Below are 10774 nucleotides of genomic sequence, written 5' to 3'. Positions count from 1 at the left end.
CTGCAGAAGCCAACTGCAGTTCAAACTGCTGTGTACATTTACACACGGTGAATGCCGGCCGGGCACGGTGGCTCACGCCTGTCATCCCAGCACTTTGGGAGGCTGAGGCAGGTGGATCACCTGAGGTCAGGAGTTCAAGACCAGCCTCACCAACATGGGGAAACCCGGTCTCTACTAAAAATACAAAAAATTAGCCGGGCGTGGTGGCGGGCGCCTGTAATCTCAGCTACTCGGGAGACTGAGGCAGGAGAATCGCTTGAACCCAAGAGGCAGAGTTTGCAGTGAGCCGAGATCATGCCATTGCACTCCAACCTGGGCGACAAGAGTGAAACTCTGTCTTAAAACAAAATACATGGTTAATGCTCTAGACTTTGTGTTATGTGCGTTTTACCACAATTTGAAAAACACTGGAGGCCGGGCACAGTGGCTCACGCCTGTCATCCCAGCACTTTGGGAGGCTGAAGCAGGCGGATCACCTGAAGTCACCCATCGAAGACCAGCCTGGCCAACATGGTGAAACTCCATCTGTACTAAAACACTGGGGGGAAAGTGTCAGGAAGCGGCAGGTTAAGGAAAGGAAATGGTACGATTTTCTGGCCGGAAACGGGGAAAGGGGTCGGGAAGCGGCAGTCGAAGGAAAGGAAATGGTACGATTTTCTGGCTGGAAATGGGGGTGCTGTGTAGCTGTCACCTCTGGGTAAACAGCTCCTGACACGTGTTCAATAGGATTACGTTAAAACAAGTGGGTCGTGATTGATAACCTAATATCCAGACCGTGCGGATCATCTATCACCAGGAGTATATTAATTATTCAGAGGAGGTCCCTTATCTAGGTGTTAAGCCCTGGATGGATTAGATATTTGTTAGCATTAGGATAGCATCCTAATGCAATCCCACTCCTTGGCCCGCAACCCACTGACAGGCCCCGGTGTGTGATGTTCCCCTCCCTGCGTCCCTGTGTTCTCATCGTTCAGCTCCCACTTAGGAGTGAGAACATGCGGTGTGTGGTTTTCTGTTCCTGTGCGAGTTTGCTGAGAATGATGGTTTCCAGCTTCATCCATGTCCCTGCAAAGGACATGAACCCATCCTTTTTCGTGGCTGCATAGTATTCCATGGTGTCTGTGTGCCACATTCTCTGTATCCAGTCTATCATTGATGGGCATTTGGGTTGGTTCCAAGTCTTTGCTGTTGTGAACAGTGCCTCAATAAACATACGTGTGCATGTGTCTTTATGGTAGAGTGATTTATAATCCTTTGGGTATATACCCAGTAACGGGATGGCTGGGTCAAACGGTATTTCTAGTTCTACATCCTTGAGGAATCGCCACGCTGTCTTCCACAATGGTTGAACTAATTTATTTACACGTACTCCGATTTGCCTTAGATAAAGCTACAGGATAGCCAGGCAGGAAAAAGCACATACACATCAGCCCAGAAGGACTCGCCTAGATCGTTTTTATGTTAAACAAAGCAAAAGTAATAATAATAATAAAATTAAAATAATAAAGGAGACAGACTTTGTGGTTGCAAATCTGTCTGAATGTTTCTTGGGTGTTATTTTTTCCCCATCCCCGCCCCCCTCCAATTTATTGCTGAAATCAGCCGGTTAAATGGTGGCTCAAGAAGTCAGGCTCTCTCTGGTATCCAATTATCTCCTCCTTTCCTAACCAGAAACAACAGGTGTCCACCAGGTCTGCAAACAGCGTAGAAAAAAAAAAATACATATCCAGTCGTTTAAAAATTGTAAATCTATGCCGTATGAATTTAAACCAGACGTGCTTCAGCTGAGGGGCAGGCTGAGTTCCAGCCAACGGTTTCGAGCAGGAAGGGCAAGAAATAGCTCTCATTATATTTCCTTAGCTGACTGTTATTCCAGGAAACCTTTGCTTAAAGGTGCCGGTGCCCAGTTAATGATAGTTGCCTTCCCCAAAGTCAAAGCTATTTTGTGAAAAGGAGTGTATGACACTATTTGCTAGCATTTAGGAGACCTGCATTATTTAGAATTGAATCTTCAAGAGAGGAACAGACTGCAGACATAAACATCCTCATTATTTTGAATCCGAGTCATCTTCCACAGCCACAAAAAAAAAAAAAAAAAAATTATTAAAGCAAACCTTTTAGGGATCGTTGGTCTGTGATTCATTTGGATTATTATTTTTTTTTCCAGCTTCCTTTCTTTTCCTTAAAATCTCACAGACACTCGGAGCTCTGGATAAACGCCGGCTTACGGGTGGCGCACGGTATTTTAGCTGCATTGGACATTATTTATTTTCCGTGAAAACCCTGTGCTTTCAACACAGTTCACCGAATATGCAGCTCTCCTCATTCCATCCGCTGCCAGTGCTTATCCTAGTTTCTGAGAACATTAAAATGAATGCAAACCTCTCTGCCCCTGCCATCTGGGCCCATTCAGCCCTCACCGGGGCCCGTGTGTTCATCACACCTGCTGCCCATAGCTGGAAAGTTGGCGGTAGGTCTTCTGAAATACGTGTGTCAGGATTAAAGTTATCCATTCAACCCCACTGCCGCCCTCTGGAAGGGAAGATGCCTCTTTCACGCCCCCACTCACCTCCAGCTCTGGGCTAAGGGGGTGACCCTATGAGGCAAGGAAGCCACTTTGGGGATGCTCTGAGCCCTGGTCCCCCTCATTCCCCGAATGCCACCTCCCGGGTACCTGGTGGAGACGTTCGCATGATGTGGGACTTTCCAGGTACCGCATAAGAGAAGGTGCTGGCCAGGAGCGGCGGCTCACACCTGTAATCCCAGCATTTTGGGGAGGCTGAGACAGGAGGATCGCTGGAGACCAGGAGGTCGAAGCAACCGTGAGCTGTGATCACACCAGGGTACTCCAGCCCAGGTGACAGAGCAAGACCCTGTTTAAAAATATATATATTTATATATTTGTATGTATATATAACATTAAAACATTATATGTATATAGCATTAAAATGTTATATATGTCATATATAAATATAAAACATTTATATATAACATTAAAACCTTATATATATAACATTAAAACCATATATATATATATATTTTTTTTTTTACAGATAGTTGTTATTTCAGACCTTGTCTCAAAAACAAAAAAAGAGGCCAGGCATGGTGGCTCACGCCTGTAATCTCAGCACTTTGGGAGGCCGAGGAGTGAGGATCACTTGAGCCCAGGAATTCAAGACCAGCCTGGGCAACATAGTGAGACCCTGTATGTACCAAAAGAAATCAAAAACTTAGCTGGGCGTGATGGTGCATGTCTGTAATCCCACATACTTAGAAGGCTGAGGTGGGAGGATCGCTTGAGCCTGGGAAGTTGAGGCTGCAGTGAGCTATGATTACACCACTGCACTCCAGCCTGGGCAACATAGTGAGGCCTGATCTCCACAAAAGATCAAAAACTTAGCCGGGCGTGGTGGCGCACACATGTAGTCCCAGCTACTTGGGAGGCTGAGGCAGGAGGATCGCTTGAGCCTGGGAAGTTGAGGCTGCAGTGAGCTATGATTACACTGATGCACTCCAGCCTGGGCAACATAGTGAGGTCTCATCTATACAAAAGATCAAAAAATTAGCCAGGCATGGTGGTGCACACATGTAATCCCAGCTCCTTGGGAGGCTGAGGCAGGAGGATCGCTTGAGCCTGGGAAGTTGAGGCTGCAGTGAGCTATGATTACACTGTTGCACTCCAGCCTGGGCAACACAGTGAGATCCTATCTCAAAAAAAAGAAAAAAGACAAAACAAAAAACACAACATTTTTTAAAAGAGAAGATGCTGTTTCAGGACACGGTAGTCTCCGCTCACTTAGGCATATCTGGGACCGGGTATATCTGTGAGCAGGTTTGTGTGAAGTCATTTTCCAAAGACAATACACCAATTTCCGAAAGGAAGCAGTGAGCCGTAGCAGCTCAGGAACCCCAGACTGGGTTCACCTTCCTATATAGCTCCGTGGGGAGGGATCCCGTCTAGCGTCCTAGGCGTTCGTAGGGTACAGACCGCAGACACAGAGGGAAGGCGGGGGCCGTAGGAGGGCCGGGATTGTGTTGTTTTTCACTGCAATGACATAAAACGTATTATATGAAATTCACCATAAATTTCACAACATAAAACTCACCACTTTAACCGCCGTGAAAATCTCAGTGGCATTGAGAACATCACTGCGCCGTGTAACCACCCCCTCTGTCTACTTCCAGAACATCCTTCTCCCCATAAAAGGAGACCCCCTCCCCAGGAAGCAGTTCCTCCTCATTCCCTCCCCACAGCCTGTGGCAACCACTCATCTGAGCTCTCTCTCTGTGCATTGGCCGCTTCCGGACAGTTGACGTAAGGGGATTGTACAATAAGCCAAAGGAAATATCGCTGAGTGTGACTTCTTCAGGGTGTATCCACGTTGCAGCCTAGGTCACAGCCTCATTCTTTTTCATGGCTGTATAGTACTCCACTGGGTGGGCACAAAGTGAGTGAACCACTGTTTGTTTATCGATTCATCCACTGAGGGACACCTGGATGGTTTCCATGTGTGTGCTCCTACAAACGTGAGCGAGCAGATATCTCTTCCAGTCCCTCTTTCTTTTTTTTGAGACGGAGTTTCACTCTTGTTGCCCAGGATGGAGTGAAATGGCGCCATCTCGGCTCACCACAACGTCCGCCTCCCGGGTTCAAGGGATTCTCTTGCCTCAGCCTCCTCAGTAGCTGAAATTACAGGCAGGCACCTCCACGCCCTTGGCTAATTTTGTATGTTTAGTAGAGACGGGGTTTCTCCATGTTGGTCAGGCTGGTCTCCAACTCCCGACCTGAGGTGATCCACCTGCCTCGGCCTCCCAAAGTGCTGGGATTACAGGCGTGAGTCACTGTTCCCGGCCCCTCCTTTCTATTCTTTTAGGTACATACTTAGCTGGGGTATTACTGGGTTCTATGGAAATTCTCTGTTTCACACTTTCAGGAGCCCCTGTGGTCCCATGAAAGCCAGATAAGAATCAACAGGCCCGGCACAGCGGCTCACGCCTGTAATCCCAGCACTTTGGGAGGCCAAGGCAGGTGGATCACCTGAGGTCAGGAGTTCGAGACCAGCCTGGCCAACAGGGTGAAACCCCATCTCTACTAAAAATACAAAATTTACAAGTGGTGGCGGGTGCCTGTAATCCCAGCTACTCCGGAGGCTGAGGCAGGAGAATGGCTTGAACCTGGGAGGCGGAGGTTGTGGTGAGCAGAGATCGCGCCATTGCTGTCCAGCCTAAGGGACAAGAGCGAAACTCCATCTCAAAAAAAAAAAAAGAAAAAATCTACATCCACAGGACCCCGGCACTGGGGCAGGGCAGGAAGGAGGGGCAACAGCAGGTCTTGGCGGGGCTCCTGGCTGCTCACATGTGGTGAGCCGGTCTCAAGGCCAGGCTGGAGGCTCTGAAGGAGGTTTCAGCTGACCTCAAGGACTAGCAGCTCCTTCCCCTCTTACTAACACACAGGCATTCATTTACCAGAATGAATACTGGAGATAAATTTTCCAGCCTGGGGGGTGGAGGGAACAGCTGTTTTTTGCTGCCCCATTTCACATAAAGCAAAACACTACATGAGGCCCACGCTATTCCCACGAGCCTCTCCCCATTTGCTTTCTGATGGCCTAACTTTCCATCCAGCCTTGGTGTCTGGGGAGCTTCAAGATTCCAGAACCCGGCTGGGCGCGGAGGCTCACGCCTGTAACCCCAACACTTTGGGAGACCGAGGCGGGAAGATCACCTGAGGTCGCGAGTTCGAGACCAGCCTGGCCAACGTGGTGAAATCCCGTCTCTACTAAAAATACAAACATTAGCCGGGTGTGGTGGCTCATGCCTGTAATTCCAGCTACTCGGGAGGCTGAGGCAGGAGAATGGCTTGAACCCGGGAGGTGGAGGTTGGAGTGAGCTGAGTTGGCACCATTGCACTCCAGCCTGGGCAACAAGAGCAAAATTCCATCTAAAAAAAAAAAAAAAAAGGATTCCAGAACCTTCCTCCCAAACAAGGAAGGTGGGAAAGAAACCCAGGCCGTCCCTGACAACTTTCTGAGCATGAACAAGTCAGAAACAGAACTTGGGGGGGCTGAGGTCTATGGAGCCTGGAGGAGGGCTACACCCCAATTCCCGATCCTACCCCAAAGGTCACCCCAGCAGCCACATCATTTTTAGCCCTAGGTTTGAATAACTACATAAATATGGTTTGTAAAAATGAATAGGTGTTATTTGTGATAATAATCCCAGGCAGGGCACGGTGGCTCATGCCTGTCATCCCAGCAGTTTGGGAGGCCAAGGCAGGTGGATCACTAGAGGTCAGGAGTTCGAGACCAGCCAGACCAACATGGTGAAATTCCATCTCTACTCAAAATACAAAAGTAGCCAGGTGCGGTGGCTCACACCTCTCATCCCAGCACTTCGGGAGGCTGAGGTGGGTGGATCATGAGATCAGGAGTTCGAGACCAGCCTGACCAACATGGAGAAACCCCGTCTCTACTAAAAATACAAAATTAGCCGGGCGTGGTGGCGGGCGCCTGTAATCCCAGCTCCTCGGGAGGCTGAGGCAGGAGGATCGCTTGAACCCGGGAGGCGGAGTTTGCGGTGAGCCGAGCTCATGCCACTGCACTCCAGCCTGGGCGACAGCGCGAGACTCCATCTCAAAAGTAGATAAATATATAATCCCAGCACTTTGGGAGGCTGATGTGGGAGGATCACTTGAGCCCAAGGGTTTGAGACCAGCCTGGTTTGCAATATAGTGAGACCCCCATCTCTACAAAACATTAAAATATATATATATATATATATATATATATATATATATATATAGCCAGGTATGGGCCCGGCGTGGTGGCTCACGCCTATAATCCCAGCACTTTGGGAGGCCGAGGCAGGTGGATCACCTGAGGTCAGGAGTTCGAGTCCAGCGTGGCCAGCTTGGTGAAACCCTGTCTCTACTGAAAATACAAAAATTAGCCAGACGTGGTGGCGGGTGCCTGTCATCCCAGCTACTCGGGAGGCTGACACAGGAGAATCGCTTGAACCTGGGAGGCGGAGGTTGTGGTAAGCCAAGATCACACCGCTGCTCTCCAGCCTGGGTGACTGACCCTGCCTCCAAAAAAAAAAAAATAGACAGGCATGGTGGCATGCACCTGTAGTCCCAGCTAGTTGGGAGGCTGAGGAGGGAAGATTTCTTGAGCCTGGAAGATCAAGGCTGCAGTGAGCTATGATTGCACCACTGCCCTCCAGCATGGGCGACAGACCAAGAAGCTGTCTCAAATAAATAAAATCATAAAATGAAAATAAATATTGCTAATACATAATGCAATGGTCCACAAGGTCGCTGGCCTGTGGATTGTGAGCAGAACGGCCTGTCTTTGCGTTCAGAACCTCACACTTACACACCCCTGCTCCCGGCCTCTGTGTCCCTCTGTCTCTGACACACACAGACACACACACACACACACACACACAAAGTATGTGATACTTTCTCCTGTCAATCTCAGAGAACTCCAATGAGACTGTAGGAAACGTGAACACATACGTGATCAATTCTGACAGTTCTTGGCAGCCGGGCAGCTGAGCCCTGGCTAGCATCTCTCTCTCCCCATCCAAGATTGAGTTTGGACGGAAACTCAGTCCTCATTTAAGAAGCAATTAAAGGGCCTTATAGACTGCTGGAGAATGAAGTGATTAATGCAAAGAGTCTCGTTTAATAGGGATATTAAGTAAACTGCTGCTTAAAACGCCCATTTATCATCCACGGATTCCTATTTGCCTTCCCGTTCCGCCAGCATGAGCATTTTCAGGAGGCAGGAGGTTTCCTGAGCGCGGCCGTTGCAAATGCCAGAAATCAAGCCGGTGGGTTTTTAGCTAATTCTGAGGGAGGCTAAACGGAACCCATAGCACGAGAAGGGGGTTGCCATGAGAGTTCGTGACAACTTCGAGATGCAGAGAACACACAGGATGTCGGCAAGGGAGTCCGGCCCCAGCTGCCCGCCGGGGAACACAGGGCGTACCACACCCCCAAATCCCTTTCCCCAAACACTGTGGGGACCCAGACGGGTGGCTGCTAATTCTGAAAATCGCGTGAATGTTGGCCGGTGTGGTGGCTCACGTCCGCGATCCCAGCACTTTGGGAGGCCGAGGCGGGAGGATCACTTGAGGTCAGGAGTTGGAGACCAGCCTGACTCACATGGTGAAACCCCACCTCTACTGAAAATACAAAAAAAAATTAGGCAGGTGTGGTGGCGGGGGCCTGTCATCCCAGCTGCTCGGGAGGCTGAGGCAGGAGAATCGCTTGAATCCAGGAGGTGGAGGTTGCGGTGAGCCGAGATCGTGCCATTGCACTCCAGCCTGGGCGACAGAGTAAGACTCAGTCTCAGAAAAAAAAAAAGGCCAGGTGTGGAGGCTCATGCCTGTAATCCCAGCACTTTGGGAGGCCAAGGCAGGCGGATCACCAGGTCAGGAGTTTGAGACCATCCTGGCCAACATGGTGAAACCCTGTCTCTACTAAAAACACAAAAATTAGGCAGGCGTGGTGGTGGGTGCCTGCAATCCCAGCTACTCGGGAGGCTGAGGCAGGAGAATCACTTGAACTCAGGAGGCGGAGGTTGCAGTGAGCCGAGATTGCACCACTGCACTCCAGCCTGGGCGACAGAGCAAGACTCCATCTCAAAAAAAAAGACCTTCAGAGAAAATCCAACACCACCAAATGTCAGATGTGGCAACTTATAAACAACAGACAAATGCTGCGCGCAGTGGCTCCCACCTGTAATCCCAGCAGTTTGGGAGGCCAAGGCAGGTGGATCACCTGAGGTCGGGAGTTCGAGACCAGCCTGGCCAATATGGAGAAACCCCGTCTCTACTAAAAATACAAAAATTAGTCAGGCATGGTGGCAGGCGCCTGTCTTCCCAGCTACTCGGGAGGCTGAGGCAGGAGAATTGCTTGAACCCAGGAGGTGGAGGTTGCAGTGAGCTGAGATCACGCCACTGCACTCCAGCCTGGGTGACACAGCGAGACTCTGTCTCAAAAAATAAAAACACATATTTCAATCATCATCTTTATTTCTTTTTTAAATCATGGCAACTTTTATTTCGGATTCAGGAGGCTCATGTGCACATTTGTTGCTTGAGTATAATGTGTGATGCTGAAGTTTGGGGCATGAAGGATTGTGCCATCCAAGTACTGAGCATGGGACCCAACGTATGATTTTTCCGCCTTTGCCTCCATCCTTCCCTCCCCCGTCTAGCAGACGCCAGCATCTATTGTTCCCATTTCTATGACTATTTGTACCCAATTTTAGCTCCCTCTTATGTGGGCCTCCACTGAGGCAAGAGAATGGCGTGAACCAAGGAGGCGGAGCTTGCAGTGAGCCGAGACCGCGCCACTGCACTCCAGCCTGGGCGACAGAGTGAGAATCCGTCTAAAAAAAAAAAAAAAAAAGAAGAAGAAGAAGCGCCTCCAGCTGCATCCGTATTTCTGCAAAGGACATGATTTGATTCTTTTTCATGGCTGTGTAGCATTCAATGTTACAGATGGATCATATTTTCTTTTTTTTTTTTCCGAGACAGAATCTTGCAACCTCTGCCTCCCAGGCGCGACCTCAGCTCGCTGCAACCTCCGCCTCCCGGGTTCAAACGATTCTCCCGCCTCAGCCTCCGAAGTAGCCAGGGTTCCAGGTGTTCACCACCAGGCTTGGCTACTATTTGTATTTTTTTTTCTTTTTTTGAGCCGTAGTCTCACTTTTGTCACCCAGGCTGGAGTGCAATGGCATGATCTTGGCTCACTGCAACCTCCACCTCCCGGGTTTAAGTGATTCTCCTGCCTCAGCATCTCAAGCAGCTGGGATTACAGGCACCTGCCACCACGCCTGGCTAACTTTTTTTTTTTTTTTGAGATGGAGTCTCACACTGTCACCCAGGCTGGAGTACATTGGTGCGATCTCGGCTCACTGCAACCTCCACCTCCCAGGTTTAAGTGATTCTCCTGCCTCAGCCTCCCGACTAGCTGGAACTACAGGTGCCCACCACCATACCTGGCTGATTTTTTTGTATTTTTAGTAGAGATGGGGTTTCACCATGTTGGTCAGGCTGGTCTCGAACTGCTGACCTCGTGATCCACCCGCCTCAGCCTCCCAAAGTGCTGGGATTGCAGGCGTGAGCCACCACGTCCGGCCTCAAGACTCTTTCTAATCCCCACCTCCTCCTAAAGCACCAGCCATCCTGCATAGAACCAAGAAACCCCAACAGGTTTCCTAACGAAATTGCCTGAGCTGTAACTTCTGCCAAATAAAATAAGCGTGTGGCAGACGGCGACCGAGGACTTTGCGTGAGCACGGACGGAGATTAGGAAGCAGCCGACTTTCCTGAGCAGCCTCTGCCTTCAGGAGCGTCTCGGCACGGCGGGCACGCACCTCACCCACCCTCCCCGGGGAGTCCTCCTTTGGCACATCCCTGGGGTGCCCTGGGGAAGTCACCGGGCCAGGGCCAGGGCTGGAGATGGCCGGTACCACAGTCTCAGAAGAGAGCAGTGAGGGCCCACAGGTGCCCAAGGGTCTCTCTCTCCAACAGAGCCTCCTCCTCGGGGAAAGGACTTCTGAGAGCAGGTGCAAACGTGTGCACGGCCCACCACGGCGTGTCTGCTCCTGACAGACTCATCCCGCAAGCCCAGGACGAACAAGGATGGGAGGATCCTGCGGAGCCGACAGTGACGTCACTCCCGAGACGCAAAACAAAGCAAAGGGGGGCTGGAGGTGGCACTTCCTTCAGGCAAGAGGGGCTCTGAGGAGAGGCCGCCAAC

General features: G+C 50.2%; 1 long non-coding RNA gene across 1 annotated transcript in view; it reads right to left on the bottom strand.

The window, feature by feature from the left end:
* Window positions 1-828: 828 nt before the first annotated feature.
* Window positions 829-10774, bottom strand: part of LOC102724521 (uncharacterized) — a 42736-nt gene continuing 32790 nt past the window's right edge. The window contains exons 8-10 of the long non-coding RNA XR_001756015.2: window positions 3925-4045; window positions 2675-2873; window positions 829-2068 (exon numbers count right to left, since the gene is read on the bottom strand). This is a non-coding gene — a long non-coding RNA (uncharacterized LOC102724521). The remainder of the gene's footprint in view (window positions 2069-2674; window positions 2874-3924; window positions 4046-10774) is intronic.

This window comes from Homo sapiens, chromosome Y (genome assembly GCF_000001405.40).
Source record: "Homo sapiens chromosome Y, GRCh38.p14 Primary Assembly".
Taxonomy (NCBI): domain Eukaryota; kingdom Metazoa; phylum Chordata; class Mammalia; order Primates; family Hominidae; genus Homo; species Homo sapiens.
Note: the sequence above shows the minus strand (reverse complement) of the source record. Positions and strands in the feature narration are given on the sequence as shown.